General features: G+C 45.9%; 1 protein-coding gene across 5 annotated transcripts in view; it reads right to left on the reverse strand.

The window, feature by feature from the left end:
- SLC7A1 (solute carrier family 7 member 1) overlaps window positions 1-18127 on the reverse strand; it is an 86275-nt gene that overhangs the window by 20281 nt on the left and 47867 nt on the right. For all 5 annotated transcript variants that reach the window (XM_047430551.1, NM_003045.5, XM_047430550.1 and 2 more), the window contains 3 exons: window positions 6125-6508; window positions 3130-3288; window positions 844-1018 (listed from right to left, as the gene is read on the reverse strand). In XM_047430551.1, coding sequence (XP_047286507.1) covers window positions 844-1018; window positions 3130-3288; window positions 6125-6494 — 704 coding nt within the window. In that variant the 5' untranslated portion in view covers window positions 6495-6508. The remainder of the gene's footprint in view (window positions 1-843; window positions 1019-3129; window positions 3289-6124; window positions 6509-18127) is intronic.

Consider the following 18127-nt stretch of genomic DNA (forward strand, 5'->3'; position numbering starts at 1 on the left):
CCACACTCCATTGTGGCAGTTGGAGGGGGTCTCTTTATCATAGCAGTTTCAACCTTCAGTCTTAATGAAGAATCACACACAAAATCCAAGTCCCCATTGTCCATCCTGAGACCTAAAGAATTACATGGAGATCTGACAACAAAGATAAAAAAGATATGACTGTTTGGCTTTTTTTTCCTAGGTTATCTGAGCTTTCAATGAGGGCTGGGCGAGAGACCTGAGATGGCACAGGGTGGAGCTGTCACCTCCAGTTCCGGATGTCTGTGTCAGAGACATGAGGGTGATGGGGCCACTGTCGCCAGGGCTTGAGCAGCACAAGTCAAATGTCGGCGAAAGACTATTGTGCTCACATTCTGACACTTCAGTCATTCTGAAAACCTTCAAAAATAGTTTCACCTATTTCTCTTCCCTCTACATTATTAATCTAATAGGAAGGTATTTAAAGGTGAAGTGAGGTCACCACGGCACTGCAGAGAAAAATCTTTTCTGAACACAAAATTCCAAAGTTGGCCATCAAACAGAATCTGGGGAAAGAGGGATCATTTAATGAGTCTGACAAGAATCCTGAATGATACACAATTTGGAATTAGGGTGATGATTTTCTTTTCCTCAGTCTTTCTTGTCATACAATAGTCTTTCCATTTCAGGGGAATAAACCTTCACACAAACTTGATACATACAAAATACCCTCAGCTACTTCACTGCAAAAACACAAAACAATTAACAAAATATCCTCAAATAATGTTTTCTTAAAAGCACATGCCATCCTAGCCAGTTATATCCCCCATACAATCTATGTCATTAAATGTCAACTAAGAAAAATGGTCAGAAGCAGCAACTCACTTGTTCAAACAGAGACGGCCTGATGTGTTCCCAAAATCCTCCTCCGTGAGCTGCCAGTTTTTAACCGATCCTTTCACAAATCCTGACACCATTATGAAGCCCAGGACCAGGACGTTAATACAAGTGAATATTTTGTTGACCATGGCCGACTCTTTCACACCAAGAGTTAAAAGTCCTGAAAAAGTGCATAGACACAAAACTTTGTCTGAGTGTTAACCACAAACTGGGAAGGTCCTTCCTGGATGGGGATAAGAAGGCGACTGAAAAAGAATCCAAGTGCATCGAGCCTCTGCAGACCTCTGTGAGCCTCTGGGAATGGGGTGGATTAATTATCTTTCTGGGGGCGGGGATCAGGGGTTTAAATCACCAAGGTTGTGGGTGCTTCCCAGGCCCTCCTAGGTGACCTCCAGATACCCTTGGGAACTGAGAAGCCCACCCAAGGGGCACCCGAGAACTGCAGAGATCTGGAGCATGAGCCCCTCTCATAGGGAGGGGAAAGCCTGGACCCGCACACCAAGCCGCTCCCTCTCACTAAAAGGATGCGTTGCTGGGAAACAACCTCTAGGAACAATTCCAGGAAGAAAGACTTTGCATAGTTTCCTGGGAGAATGGACATTTTTCAGAAGAGGAAATTATTCTGGTTGACTTTGGGATGTTAGTGATATTAACAATAACAACTAGCTATGGTTCTGGAACCACTAACACACATGGTTCTTCGTTGGACTCAGTGCATATAAAATAACATCTGAGCTAGGCTAGCTCTAGCTTGCAAACTCACGTTTTTTTTTTAAAGAAAACTATAAGTAATAAAGATGCCCAGGAACCTCTGACAGCACTGCCTTTGAGGCACATGCCCCAGCACCACCTTAGGGTGAAGAGGTCATTCGGGTACTTCCATAGCTGAACTCTCTGCTGGGCAAGAAAAGTGGCACAGAAGGGGTTGGTACCACTCGAACACAGCCAGGATTTGAGACCACTGCTCTGCCATGGACGCCTCTCATCGTTTTAAAATAAAAATTGGCTAGGTGCGGTCGCTCACGCCTGTAATCCCAATACTTTGGGAAGCAGGCAGATCTTTTGAGGTCAGGAGTTCCAGACCAGCCTGGCCAATATGGCAAAACCTTACCTCTACTAAAAATATAAAAGATTAACTGGGTGTGGTGGTGCGTGTCTGTAATCGCAGCTACTGGGGAGGCTGAGGTGTGAGAATCGCTTGAACCCAGGAGGCAGAGGTTGCAGTGAGCCAAGATCGCGCAACTGCACTCCAGCCTGGGTGACAGAACAAGACTCTGTCTCAAATATAAAATAAAATAAAATAAAATAAAAACTGCTGTACTTTTGAGATTGAATTATAAAGTACAGATGTTAGAAGAGAATTGTGTAATTAATCACAGGGAGAACACCTCAACAAACAACAATATATTGTTTCTTTAGTGTCCCTCCCTCTCAGGTTTATTAAAATGAAATCTCACTAGTGCAGACTTACTTTCTGATGCATGTTTCTGCCAGCTGGACCAGAAATACTGCTGAGACCAGCCTGAGTGAAGTTATTTCAATTATGTGGTGTGTAAAATAAGGCATGTCATTTTTAAAACTCATCCAAGATTTTCTAACCCCAAATGAGAATTTATCTGCATTTCAGCTTCATGTTTATGGAGCCCCACAGAGCAAAACTCGCGCTGCACTGGCCAAGACACGCACAAATGTCACTAGCAAGAAGTTGCCATCAGCTGTGTTCAGGCAGTCTCTGGGATTTTTCAAATTCTGTAACCACAACTCTGTCATGAAACTTATTTACTGAAAGGGTGTTTTGATGGTTGTTAGGTGTAAAAACCATCCAAGTCATCTTCAGACGCCCCAGGCACACATTAGTGTTCCAGACGGAGCTCATTCCTCCACATTTTCCTGGCTGATGAATGACAGTTTTGCTTTCCAAATGGTCATCCACTGAGTCAAAAGAACTTTTATTCCCAGGACACTCACACAAAAAGCCTGCAGTGCAGACAAAATCTTATTCCACAAACAGCTAGGCTAAACACCTAAGATTCTCTTTTAATGAAATGGCACACAATTCAACAGCTATGAAGCAGGCCGGCCCTATCTGAATCTATAAGAAGCAATGAAGACAGGAACAAATAAAGATGCCTGCATGCAGTACAAAAACAAAACAAAAAGAAATGGGGGTTATGGTTAAAGAGATAAGTAAAGAAAGGAACTTAACAGGAGCCTCTCACCAAACCTTTGCCCATCACTCTGACCCGATCTCTTTTTAAGTGTGGGCTTTACCTGTCAAGATGAGAATTATGATCACTGCGAATATGTCGGGGTTTTCAGCCAGCACGCCGGGGGCGTTCAGAGTCATGTGTGTCCGTGAGAACTCCCCGATGGGTCTGCCTATCAGCTCGTCGAAGGTGGCGCTCCAGGCCCTCGCTACGCTTGAAGTACCTGCCACAAAGCACACACAACAGAGGAGATGTGAGGACAACTGTTAGCCAGGTATTTGTAGTGGAGCTCCATGTTGATAACATCATTGCAGGAGTCACCGACGGTGCACTGGAATCTGGCAGCAGCAGCCAGACCACAGTGTATGCTGAGCCAGAAGTGACGGTCGACTAGTGCTAAGTGCGAGAAGGCTTCTAGGGCCTACAGAGGAATGCACTTCACATCCTACCCAATATACACAGGTGTATTCTATCAAATATATATATCCGAATAAAAAGTTCGCAAAACGAGTGTTACCCTTACCACCTGAGAGGCACTCTGATAATATTTAATGCTACCTACTTTGTTTCATTAAAAAAAGTAAACATTGATGACAACTCATGAAAAATTGATTTCATAATGCACTCCTGGGGTGCAGCTGGCAGTCTGGAGGAATGCTGCTTAGGAAGCCTCTTTTCTAGGAACCCCTTGGCTGCAGAGATGATGGTGCCTGCACCATAATTCTTCTCTCAGCAAGAAGAGGGGCCCTAGGAAGTCCTTGAAGGGGCTGAACTCCATCTCAGGGACAAAGCCACTTGCTCATCTCAGTGTTGGCATCAGCCACCTCTGCCACTTTTTGCCTGAACCTGATTCGGAGGCCACAGCATCCCCAGAGTGCAGGACAGCAGACAGACCCCAGCCCTCCTCGTTCTCCCCTCAGCCTGCACCCTCCGGTGCCGAAGAACACCAACAGGGCAGCACTCAAAATGCCAACAATAGTTGGCTGCTGTCTTTCACTCTCATTCTCTCCTCTCACATAATTCTAAAGGGTGTCAGAATGTGTTTCCATTGGTGTTTCTCAGGAAATGTCACTAAAATTCCAGCATTTTCATAGAGCGTTTTCCTTTATTTTCAAAGCGGGCCTTGTCGGTGACCATGGTCCTAATTATCCACAGCATATTGCCACAGTGATCTGCAGAGATTCAATTTCACTATTTGGTCTTATGATAAGTAAGTATCTTTCCAACAACTCAGAAGTTTAACCACATTTCTTCCTCCTAAGCAGCCAATCTATTATGAATTCTGTAAAAATGGTCTCACCATCTCCCTGTCACCCCCAAAGCAGCTGGCTTATGGCAAACGTGGCTCCCAAACCCTGTCCTGCTCAGTGACAGGGGCTACCCCAGCCTTTCTTCCCAGCCTATCCACTCCCAATTTCTGAATTATGCCTTTTAAAAAAATGTTTGCTGGAAAAACTGCCCTTCCCAGCAGCTAAGGCTGAGAACACATTTTTATAATGCATGCAAATGGTTTCACACAAGCAAACGGCACTCTCGCAGAGCCTTACATTTGTTGGTCTAGAAGCTGCAAGCATTTCATGCTCAATGTATATTTTATGCTCAGGTAAATCCTCTGGAAACATAACGGTCCATTTACAATAGCTACATTCCCAGTGAGAGACTTCAGCTTGTGAGAACCATGTGTGGTTGTTAAGTTTTGATGTGGCATTGAAAGAAAACATTGTGAATTTTATTTTAGAACCCAGAAGACTAAGCTATGTTGGCTCTCAGCAGATACTGCAGCTGCTGGAAAGAAAGAGAAGGTGCTGCTCGGAGAATGTGAGTGTGTGCCCTCCCCCAGCTGTCCTGGTGAAGGGGGAGTGATGCCCCCCATGCAGAGATAGGGCTGTGGGGAGCCCAGGGCTGCGAGGATCCCAGCAGGCAGCATGTGTGGCCAGGGAGGGTGTGGTGGGGTCCAGTGGGAGCTGACACAGAAGCAAGGCGGAACCCACATGGCTCAACTTAACAGGTCTTACTGTTTTTTCGCTATTACCAAAAAGTTTGAGAAAAAAAAAAATAAATGGCATGTTGAGTGGCCGTTTGTACCCTTTGCTTCTGAGACTTAGGTTTTTGTTTCTTTTAAGTTGATGTGTTCAACTTCAGTTGTAATCAAAATACAAAAAAGCATAAAGAGAAGCAAAGCGTGTTTACCTGGCAAACCGGAAAGATTTTCTACATTTGCTTCCTTATTTGCTGGGTGGATGTGTTACAGGCCGATGCCCAGTGCCCACACTGCAGGGAAAGGGGCCCCTGGCTACGTGGAGGATCACAGTCAACAAAGGCCTTAAAAACACGCAGACCCACTGACAGCCATTCTGCTCCTTAGACAGTTTTAAGGAAAAGAATCATGGCTAAGCCCAAAGACATAAAGTAATTAACTGTTAATAACAACAGCAACAACATAATGGAAACAATCTGAACATCCCATAAAGACACCAATACATTACGCTGTGTATATAAATCTATACAATGGTAGGCAAGCATTAGAAATGTTACTGTGGAAAAATAGCTAATGATATGAGAAATGTTTACTATATATTGTTTTATAAAGAGATACACTGTAGAAAAATACACATTTAAATTCACAAAAATGTTAACCATAGTTGTATCTGTAGACAGTAAACTTCTGAACACAGAGTGTCTTATGCCTTCATGGGATCCCTAGTATCTAGCACAATGCCCAGCCCAGAGCAGGTACTCAATGAACATTTATTAAAAGAATGAATGAATGAATGAGAGAATTAGTTTCTCCATGTTGTCAGGCAGGGTATTTCTACTTTCTTCTTCATGCTTTTCTTTATTTTCCCAATTTTTCTCTATCAGTGATGCATTTACTCTAGTAATTTAAAAACCTACTAAAAGAAACTAAATACCTCTAAATGAATCAGAAACATCCTATTAATTCTGTGCCTCTCGTGTTAACAAGAATGACCTCCCTGTGGGGCATCCACCCACACTTTGGAGGTGGGAACAAACAGAAAAGTGGTAGAGGGCACGAGCTCCGGACCCCTGGGACCTACCGATGATGTAGGAGAGGATTAAGTTCCAGCCGGTGATGAAGGCCCAGAGCTCTCCAACGGTGACATAGCTGTAGAGGTAAGCTGAGCCCGTCTTGGGGACCCGAGCACCAAACTCGCCATAGCACAGGCCAGCCAGCACTGAGGCCAGCGCAGCGATCAGGAAGGAGATGACAATGGCAGGGCCTGCATTCTCACGGGCCACAGCTCCAGCCAGGACGTAGACACCAGCACCCAGTGTGCTGCCCACCCCGAGGGCCACCAGATCAAAAGTGTTCAGGCAGCGAGACAGCCGCGTCTCCTCCCGGCTACAGTCCACCACCTTCCGCCGCAGCATCTGCTGCCCAATGTTGAGCAGGACTTTGCACCCCATGTTGCTGTTCAGAGCTGTTGAAAAAGAACAAAGATGTTTCCTGATTGCTCCTCATTTCACCCATTACTCTAATCTTATCACATTATGGAAACACAGACAGTGATCAGGTCCTTCATAATCATTTCCTGCTAAAACGCTTTAATTCGTAGAATTCCACCATCAATTGTCAGAAGCACGCAGACTTCTCCAGTTTCACCAGCACATACAGAATTAACCCAGCAGGCCAACAGATACAGATGACTTCATTTCGAGGTCTCTGAGCTTCCACATTTGTAGCAGGTCCTCTTAATGGAGACTCTTCCATGGGTGGAAATTATGCAGTAGAGGAAACACACATTAATGACATTGTTCCTACACTCAGTCATCAGATAATACACCAGGAAAAACAAGGTGTTAGTTCAAGTATGCTGTAATAGAAAGCAAACCAAACCATATCTTAATTTCATTACTAAATTAAATTATTAAATTATTAAAACTCAGAGGCCCTGAATGGCAATAACAATGTTTTTCTAGATCTTTCTAGGATCCCCTGAGGGTAAGGAGCAAGTTGTTTTCACTTTTAAGGTAACACAGAGGTAGGTCGAAGCAGAAAAATGTTGAGTTATTACAAGTGAGGGCTTTTCGTCACTGTTACTACTACAGGAAGCACTTTTCTTCTGGGCTGAAATGTCAGCCCAATGTGCTCTGTGGTATATGATATATATGCATATCTGATATGCTCTTGGGCACTTATCATGAGAGGACATGTATTCATCCATCCCACCCTCACATGGGACATGCCCCATTAGGGCCCAGGACACCTTGTGCCTTGTGGGATGGCTCTGAGATTGCTTTCCTCCAACCTACGGGCCCACCTTGCCCGACCAGATGCGACAGGTGAGCCCTTGGCAAGGACAGGCCAGCAGCCACCCTCAAAAAGGGGGAGCTTTGCTCCCCACATCTGAAGGGAAGAGACTTCCTTCCATAGAGTCCAGGATGGAAGGGTGGGGGTGGGAAAACAGATAAACTCTTCAGTGGAGAAACCCGAGGACCACCGCCTGCGGCAGGTGACCGAGGCCAATAACAGTGACAGTCATGTTGGCAGAGCGATGTGATGAGAGGGGCACTTCATCTCCACAGTCTTTCCCCCAAAAACCCACAGCCCCAGGCTAACCATGGGAAAACCACCGGACACATCCTGTTCTACAAAATACCTGACTGGTTCTGTCAAGGTCATCAAAAACTAGGAAAGTCTGAGAAATGTCAGAGCCTAGAGGAGCTAAGGAGATGTGAGGACTAAATGCAATGTGGGATCCTATATGGGATCCTGGGACAGAAAAAGGACACCTGGGGAAAATGAGGGAAACCTGAATCAAATATGGATGTCAGTTAGTGACAGCACATCAATATTGATTGTAACCAATGTACCCACCAAAGTAAGATACACGTTCCTAATGGGAAATGGTGAGGGGCACATGCAAGCTCTGTACTCTTCACAATTCTTCTATAAATCTAACACTATCCTAAAACAGAGTTTATTTTAAAAATCTAAGACAAAACAACAGCATGTGCACAGATATGCTATCGTCATGACTTTTGGCTACTAAGGTACACACAAAAAATCACCAATCGTTCATGTTGATCATCAGTTGGTATTTATTGACCTAACTTGGCTGCAATTAAATCAATTGAGATAACAAGTCTAGAAAAGTCCGTGCCTAACGACTTGAACACTTCCCTGCCTGCCCACACCTTTGCACCCTCAGCTGCCGGGCGGGCGCAGTGCAGCAGGGCCTCCCCACACTGCAGCTCAGGGCCCCTCAGCAATGGTCGCATCACTGATCAGCTCCAGGTCGTGCAGCAACTGGGGATGGTGCCTGCTCTGTTTTATCTGACAGGCCAAAGGAAGAGAATAATCTCAAGACTCATAAAATTTTGAGCTAGAATGGGGAATAAAAATCATCTGATCCTATCCCTTTGTTACATAGATGGGGAAAACAGCTCAGAGAGCCAAATGTCAAACAGGGTCACAGGCTCTGCAGGCGCAGTCCTCCTCTGGAGTTCCGGCAGTATCACAGGTAGGAAGGAAATGATATCATGGTTTAGCAAGTGGGGCAAAGTGGGGAGGAAATGAGGAGGGAGCGCTGCTTGTGGAACAGTGATGGAGTGGGAAAATCAGAACCTAGAGTTTGAGAAGAGCAGGAAAAGGGCCCCTGAGGCCAAGAGAAGAGCAAGCAGAGAGATGGATGGCTTCCCAGGTTGCTTTCAGCAACACAAGGGACTGCTTCAGCAAGCTCTCATGCCAGAGCAGTTCTGAGGTGTCTCAGCAACACAGGGATGCCTGCGGCTTCCTAGGCAGTTAAGTGAGAGCCTCCGAGTGGCACTAGGGAGGAGGAGGAGCAGGAACCAAGGACCTAGTGCTGCTGGGACCCCAGGATCTGCAGGCTCAGGGAGTGATTTCTCCTGGAAATGCCTTTTTCTTTTCTTCCTTTTGGGGAATTAGCCAGATTTATTCAAGTCAAATTGCAAAGCACAACAAAGCGTTTAGTAAACAATTGCGTGGATAGTAAGTTGGAAGGGAAAATGCAACATTGCAACATAGCCCTCAGCTGAAAAGCCTGTGCTGGGAGATGTGCAAAAATTGCTGCGAAGTCACTTCTCAATATCCCTTTTGGCAGGGAGGGAGTCGTTTAAGTAGACGGAGCCTTGAAGAGAAACAGGGTGTGAAAGCTCTTGTTTCGGATCTGGCTGGGAAATGTGGCTAGGGGATGCACAGACAGTGCCTGCCTGCTCCCAACCTCTCCCAGATGTCACTTCTGCTCAAGAATAAGCAGATTCTCTCCATAAAACACTAAAGGCCAAGTGCAAGGGAGAGACAAAGCTACTCAATAGCATTTTCTTTCCTAGGCCTCACAGGATAACATAACCTAAGCGCGCCCAGAAGGTGAGAAGGGGTCGCCCTGCCTTTCTCTGTCCTGGGCTTTTCAGGAGGGCTATTTCCTTTTTGCACTCCTTTCTCAAAAACGTGCTGTTGTCCTAGGCAGAACCAAAGCCACAAGAGGAACCAAACAGATTCTTGGCAAGGAGCGCACCAGAGCCCAGACACACTCCAGTTAACATAGTTCTGGGCCTCTGTAGAACGGAAGGCGAATGTGAGCCGGCTGCTCGCATAAGAGGACAAATGACGTCCATGGAGGTGCGCAGATGCAAAGCCTATGTGCACACATGCACGTATGTCACCACAGCACAGATCACTGCTGCCAGTTGAGAACCCAAAGAACCAAGCAACTTATGCTGGGGGGACCTCTGAACCCCCTTCAAAATGAAGGGGCAGGTTATTAAATTACTGTAAGCTTAGATACAGATAACGGTTTTCTAACATAATGTGAAAAGGGACTTTCTGGTGAGACACCTGTGCACAGCTGCGCTCATTTCCCCTGAATAGGTACGCAGCGGCCCGTTTTATCCGGGTATAGTTCTTGGCCTGTTTCCCCCACACCAAGCCCAGGGAAGTGCTGGAGGGAAGTGCTTGGGTCTCAGTGGGGTGGGGTGGGGACAACTGGGACCCCTACAGGAGATTACTTTTACCTTGGTTACTTCTTAAGTATTGCTTGCTATCTAGGGAGAGGGCAAACTGAATTCCTTTGGAAGACACTGGAACAAAGATGCAGCCAACTGCTGCTGAGAAGCCCAGGGCTGATAATCTGGAGAATGTAAATGTCTCAGGCTAGGTGTTCATTCCTACTTCCCAGGGTAGGAGAAAATGAGACACTTACTCTGTCCTGGGTTTATTTTAAGAAATATCCTGTCTCCTTGGAAGTAATGCAAAAACCTGTTCTCCAAGTGGTTTTATCTGTCAGCATTTTGTACACATTATACCAGCTCTTACATTCATGCCAGGACTCCAAAGCTGGTTGTTCAACCAACAGTGAGGCTGCACGAAGCTACTCCGCACAGACTTAGCTAACCATTCCAACCCCAGCAAGCAAAGTCAGGTTGGTAGAGACTTCCTGCTGTTGGGGTTTACACAGAAAGTTGCCAGAATACTTTGAGAGCATCACCTGGAAATTAGGTGGGGAGGAATTTATACAACAGTTGATGCCTCCTTTTATTTGAGGGTTTGATGGAAATCTTGCAAGCCCAAGGGTCTCGGATCCCTCTTGCTCCCTGTCATTTATTATCAAAGAACACTTACCTGAGGGGTATCCTCAGAAAAGCACGTTTCCCACAGGAATTCTAACTCTGCATTCTATTCTAGTAACCACTACATAACACCAGGAGTAAAATGACCCAATGAGTCAGAATTTGAGATAAAGACTCTCTTATGTTCTATTTTAAAGATTTCTGATACAAGTGACAGGGTGAATGGTGTGACGTTTTCACCTTGAATTTAACGGATCATTCCACCACTGATACATTCCAGCTTAATGGCTTCCCTGGGGGCCAGGAGGAGTCAAAAGCAAGCTGTTATACGACACTCGGAAATGCCCTTCTTTCAAGAAAATCTTCATCTTGGGATCTTTAAGAAGCCAATGCTTTTAGCTTCCCCTTTCAGTGGCCTTCAGAATGGCCAGGCCCCAGTCGACCCCTTTCTCCAGGCACCTGGTGGGAGCCATCCAGAGGGAAATCTTTCACCCTCGCAGGAGAAAGACTGTGGTCTACGTTTGTATCAGGCTAAGGAATCTCTGTCTTTATTAGGGTGGTATTACTATTATAGGATATCATGAATGGGTGGGCATAGTCAATGGCGTCTTTTCAGCTTTCCTCAACAAGAGTGGCTGGTCAACCTCATGGCTGGCATGTGGGCAGCTGCTCAGCAGTCAAGGAGTGTTCCAGACTGAGTGTGCACAGAAGGGGCAGGGCTCACACAGCTGAGTGAGCTGCAGCCACAGGTGGGAGAAGGGGATGCTGGCCACGATGAGAGAGGACGTGGAGTCTCAATGACAAGGGCAAAACCTGTGTGGAAGGAAGTGATCTCAAAGCAGGATCCACTTCCCCCCAGATGTTAGGAGGCCCAGGTGCAAGAACTTACATTTTGAAAAACAAGTCAGATCAGATGGGACTAGCGGACACTAAGGATGGAGACGGAAGGAGGTAGGCATGGTGTTATAAAAAAAGAGGTAAGGAAGAGACAGAACTGAACACGGTCTTGAGAAGGAGCAATGGAGGTCCCTTAACAGGCAGAAAGAGACTCAGAACAGAAAAGGAAATTAACCGTGGTCAGTGCCTAAGACCATCAGAGGACAGGTCATAACTGACCTAACAGGGACTCATTAATCCCAGGTGAACTGAGTCTGGTACAATGGTAGACCACAGTCTTTCTCCTGTCGTCAGAAGCCACTGCCAATTTGGGCGTGAGGGGCAGGGAGCAGATAGGAGGATTGATCTTAACAAGTTTAGTACATAGCAAAGGGAAAACCCCTATTCATAAACATTCAATTCACGTACAATGTATAGAAGACTGACAAATAGAGACTAGCATAACTGGGAAAATCATGAGTAACATGCTCACTAATGTTGAATACAGTTTAACATCATTCTGGATGTTAACATGATGTCACTAAGAGAAGTGGAAAAAATGAGAAAAACCCTTCCCGTCCAAGAGTAGGAAAAATTATGAATAACTTGTAATAAAATATGACAAAATAATGTAGCCATTAAGAATGTCTTTCTAGACTATGTATGGACAATGAAGAAATGTTCATGACAGGTTCACAGAAAAATACTACAAAAGTATATATTTTTGGATAAACAAAGTACATATGTATTCTTTAAATGCCAGATAAAAAGTATATCAAAATATTAGTAGCAGTAATTTTACTATTCACTATCATAATACTTTTCAAAATTCTCTTTAAAAATTCTATTTTATTTTTATCATAAAAAAAAACACATACAATCTTTCCAAAGTCATTCTGCATTGCAGAAGGCATGTTCACCTACGGGGAGTACAGGCAGAGAATACCTTTCACTGTGCAAAGCGTCACTAAAGACTACATGAACTCGGCCAGGCGCGGTGGCTCACACCTGTAATCCCAGCACTTTGGGAGGCCGAGGTGGGTGGATCACCTGAGGTCAAGAGTTGGAGACCAGCCTGGCCAACATGGTGAAACACCATCTCTACTAAAAATACAAAAATTAGCTGGGCGTGGTGGCAGGCGCCTGTAATCCCAGCTACCCGGGAGGCTGAGGCAGGAGAATTGCTTGAACCTGGAAGGCAGAGGTTACAGTGAGCCGAGATCACGCCATTGCACTCCAGCCTGGGTGACAACAGCGAAATCTGTCTCAAAAAAAAAGACTACGTGGGCTCATTCGAAACCAGCCTGGGCCACATGGCAAGACATCATCTCTACAAAAAATTTAAAATTAGCTGGGCACTGTGGTATGCATCTGTGGTCCCAGCTACTCAGGAGGCTGAGCCAGGAGGATGGCTTGAGCCCAGGAAATCAAGACTGCAGTGAACCGTGATCACACACCGCACTCCAGCACTCCAGACAGAGGGAGACCCTGTTTCAAAAAAAAAAAAAAGACTAAATGAGCTCCACGACCATAAGAAAATTGAATTGGAGAGAGTAAATCAAAGAATCCTCATACTCAAAAGTATGAGGATGGGAAGGGTGGTTCAAAATTATGCAGCTTAAAAAAAAAACCAATCGTCCACTTGTGCAGTGAGCGGCAGAGAAAGAAACAACGGCACAGTGCAAGGCCCCAGTCTCACTGGGCAGCGGCTCTGCCTACAATGAAATATGACTTCTGAGCTTGGACTCTTTTAAAGGCCCTGGGGTCTACATCTGGCTGACTCCAGGCAGCTAGTGACACGCTAAGGATATAACTAAATTCCACCCAAAGTGACTGATCCCATGCCTGTTATGTGCAAAGCACTGTGACAACTGGGGTTTAAGAGAAATGGGCAAACCCCCAGTCCTTATTCTTGGAAAGCACAGAGTGGTGGGGTTGCGGGGGGTGCGAGGCTATGAACATACACTCCTGGAGCACTAGGGTCCCAAAGGAGAGTGTGGGACAAAGAAAAGGTCTGTCTCAAAAGGCCACTACTTTCATGGGGGAAAAAAGGTGGCCTTCCATCAAGAAGTACAGAGGCACAGAGCCATTTGGGCACTTCCATATATCGAGCTGGAGGCCTTGGTTACAAAGACACTTTACACTCTTCTAAAATCCACAAGCTGCAGGCAATGTGACTGCTCAAGTCTGGCACAAGGGGGCCCAAGGGCCAGGGTGATGACTCAACCAGGGGTTTCAGTCCTTCAGGCCTCCCTGACTTCACAATCAGAAAGCCTGAGAGCCCTGCCTCCCCGCCACACGCTTCTGCCTACTGACTCAACAGGGCTGATGGCAGAAGTTCCCAGGGACCTCTGAGGTCCCATAGACAAAGTTTACAGCCCACCACTCTAAGTCTTACAGCAAAAGCAACATTACATGGAGAGGGGTGCGGAAGGAGGCAGGGATCAGAGGTTCCCCAGGAGGAGGGAGAAGGGTGGGGAGGAGGCAGGGATCAGAGGTTCCGCAGGAGGAGGGAGAGGGGTGGGGAGGAGGCAGGGATCACAGGTTCCGCAGGAGGAGGAAGAGGGGTGGGGAGGAGGCAGGGATCAGAGGTTCTACAGGAGGAGGGAGGGGGTGGAGAGGAGGCAAGGATCAGAGGTTCTGCAGGAGGACAGAGTGGGGGAGAGGCGGGGACATGCGGGGAGGAGAGGACATGAGGCTCTACCACAGGTGCCATTCCTTGGGCTGAGCAGCCACCAACTGCAGAACAGCTTCCAGGCACAGTGGGGAAGTTGCCCAGCCAAGAACAACTGCCAACAGAGGCCCCAGTGCAGGCATGGCAAAGACCACAGCATCGGGCCTCAGCCAGGTTAAAGCAACATGGGAGCGCCGGGATCCCACCCACTCACACCACGAAGAGGCCCAAACAAATAAACAAATAACCCACAGGCCGAAAGTAGACAATGCTGTCTCAGGAAGGAACCCAGTGCGATCTTTACAGCGTGAATCTGTTGCTGAAATGGTTTGCAGTCAGTAAACCGTTTTCAACTTTTAATGTCATGAGAAAACATCAAGTCCAAAAGAACATAATATAATACCAATGAGTACGTATGTGGGTGTAAAATCCTAAAATATTAACTGAGATTATACGCATGTTTTTGTTGTTATTTTCTTCTTTTCCATCATTTGCTGTGTAGTCTAGAATGACATGTCACGCTTTCAATGAGAAAACAATAGTAATAACTAAAAACACCTAACATCCTGGAGCACCAGCCAAATGAAAGTCCTTTACATTTTACTTCATCTTTTCGCCCCCTTATCAGGTAGGCAATACTTTGCATTCTAGAGACAAGGAGACGCAGGCTTGATTACAACTCAGTAATTCTCAATGCTGGTTGCACATTAGAATCATCTGGGGAGATTTTTTTAAGTAATAATGCCTGGCCCCAGCACAAATCAAATAACTTCTATAACATTCTCCCAAGGAACGTCCCCAAGGGCATTTGACCAATGAAAGGTGCAGTTGGGGTTCAAGTCTCACTGCCTCCAAAGCCTTGAACTGCTCTCTGAATTAGATCAACAAATTCTGGGGAATGGCATGGCGGCGAGGGCAGTGGGGAGAGGGTGTAAAATACAGAAGAGGGCACAGATGGCACTGTGCCCTGTCGTAGGGGGCACAGGTGACATCGCACCTGCCTCATCGGGGGGGGGGGGCAAGCTCTTCCCACTGACTCAACTCGGCCCCCTCAAGATGCTCCCCCAGGGCAAGGGCTGCATCCTGATCATCCTTCTATGCCCCTGGCACCTAGCAGGCACCAAATAGTATTGACAGGACCACAGCACACGCAGCAGTCAGTAATCACCAATGACCTGAAATTCAGGAAGCTAATAGGGCACCCACTTTTGTCTCAGGTAATCATCACCATGACCATCAACAACTTGTGAGGGTCTTTCTATCAAAAGAGATCTTATTAGCTGAATACTGAATGGTTTCATTCACCAACGAATAAATTTGTTTCTCTAAATGAATATAAATATAAAAAGATGCTAGTTACAGATTAAAATCTAAAGCAACAGTCTTGTCTAGGAAGCCCTCTCCAAGCCCGTCTCCTCACAGGTAACCTCTGTCACAGGCTGCACCCTCTGCCCACCCCCTTCACCCCAATCAGACTATCGCCCCCATGCCACTGTGGGGACCAGCTCAGGTCCCTACCACTCTTCCTGTCCAGGTTTCCATAGGCCCAAATTCATTGTGTTCAACAAGGCACAACGTCAAGGTCTCTGTTTCTACGTGTGTAAAATGGGGATGGACAGTCCTGCCACTGCAAGGTGCTGTGAGGCTCACATGAGACAATGTACTAGGAAACGCCCAGAAAACAGAACTCGCTGCTCTTCAAATGCAAAGAACCATCAGCATCACCCCATGAGTAGCTATTAATTCCTCATAATAATATTTTTCTTTTAAATCCCAATTACAACCTGTTGGTCACCTGTCTCTGCCTCACAGAAGCAGAGGGCAGACAATCCCCATCAGCTTAAGGTTCCCGTCACCAGGGTTTCCCTTCATCGAAACTTTGCCACAGTCACTGTAAGTACCACCTACTCCACTCAGCTCAAGTCTTCCAATTCTGTTTACTCAAATCAAAGATGACATAAAAAACGAGAAGCCAGTGGAAAAGCTATCAAGGACATCTTCACAAAAACCAGAGAACACCCGAAAAGTGTTTCCTCCTGAAGCCAGCAGGATGAGTGGAGAGTTGATGTCTTTCGATGTGTTTCCATCATCACTCGGGAGGGCGGTGCTTCATCAGGAGAGACGCCCACGCCCTGTGTGCAGAAATGTGTTACAACAAAAACAGGTATCCTATCCTATCCTATCCTATTGGAGCCAGGGCTCCTCTGACACGTGCCTTTTCATCACACTTGGGCAGCATGGAAAGAAAACATCAGTCTGCACAACCTGTGGGCAGGTCCGCAGGGAGACTCTCCACTGCCTCGCAAGTGCAGCGTCAGTGAGCCAGAACCAACCAGGGAGCTGGCCCTACACAGTGGGAGCTTCCACGAAACAGGCTTTAAGTTCCCTGCCGGCACTGCATTCGGGCCTTGGAAATGGCTATGGAACTGGCTCTCACATCTCAGAAGAAACTTGTTCTTTAAACAAATTTGTTCATTTATTTAAAAAGAAATGTTTTAAACAAAGTTCCCCCAAGATTAGAACACTGGCACTTTAATTTTCTGAGCCTCTAAGGTTTCCTGGCAGTTAAATTAGTTTTCTTTCCCTCCTTCTAAATATTTCCTCTTCCAAAAGCAAAAGGAGAATCAGCATTGCAAACGAGAGCAAAGCAGAGGGTTCCATGCCAACCTAACTTAATTTTCACTGGACATTCACAGACTGATATTTTCCCACTCACTCATTTATTCACTCAACAAACCTTTAATAAACTCAGGCAGTCCACCAATTCACACATAGGCCTGGGAACACCTTAATCCATAAACTCCTGGAAATTTTCACTTCTCCCCCAGTCTCCCCACCATCACGAGCAACTTTTTTTTGTGAAAAAAACTTGGAACTCCTAGAAAATTCACTGGTTCGAGAGGAGACAAAGAAAAGCTATGAACAATGGGGCACAGCCCAGGAAATGACCTGAAGAACAGCCTCACAGTGAGCGGGGCCTGCTAGAAACAGCCAACATCACACAACACCAGCTCCACGCCACACACATGCACTGCTGCATTAAATCCCCACAAGGAAGCAATCGAGTCACAATTGCTAATCCTCTTGTAAGAATAAGAGCGCGGAGTGTAGCTGGCAGATTATATTGCCTGCTGTCACGTAACTTGTAATAGTGAAGCCAGGATTTGAACCCAGGTCATCTAATTCCTGAAACCCTATTCCCTGCCAGGTGCCAAACTGACTCAACTTTGACCAAGCTCATTCTCCCTGCTGCCTGATAATTCTTACTTTATTTGTTACCCTGTCTGAAATCCTACAAATATAAAAGAGTCATGAGTTAAGTGACAACCTCTTCTTAAATGTGATACCCCTGTAAAAATGAAGCCCATTATTATTCATGCCGTGGAGTGAATCAACGTAATCCATCCACTTCCCATCCAGCCAGCTGCTAGCCAAGACCCGCTGGCTGTGAGGTAACAGGAACTTTATCTGGGACTGAGGAAAAGTGGGTAATTTTGGCTGCAGGACCCAACCGGGGCTTCGGCGGAAAGTTGTGGAAAGGATACAGATAGCAGAGGCCTGGAAAGGGTATGTGGAAGGAAGTGGCAGATAAAGCAGATGGATTACGTGTTACATTAGAGAAAAAGTGTCAAAACAACATTATAGCAATCCTTAAAAAAAATTATAACATAAAAATAAGTGTATACAAAGAATTGTAGTGCAGGAAGAAGTGAGGCATTTGTCTCTAGACAGAAGATTATGAGTGGTTCCTTCCATATTTCGACAATTTTTAAATAATGAGTATGTAATGCTTCTGAATTAAGGGAAAGAAAATCTCTTGTAATGAAACCAACAAAGAGGGAGAACAAAGGAAGGCATGAGGGTCCCAGGACAAGCCAAGCCCACCTCGAGTCTGTCTAGGAGAAGCTGATAAGCGGGTACACGGGGCTTCATTATGCTTTTCTCATTTGTGCATGTTTGG

The sequence above is a fragment of the Homo sapiens genome, chromosome 13, assembly GCF_000001405.40.
Source record: "Homo sapiens chromosome 13, GRCh38.p14 Primary Assembly".
NCBI classification, from domain to species: domain Eukaryota; kingdom Metazoa; phylum Chordata; class Mammalia; order Primates; family Hominidae; genus Homo; species Homo sapiens.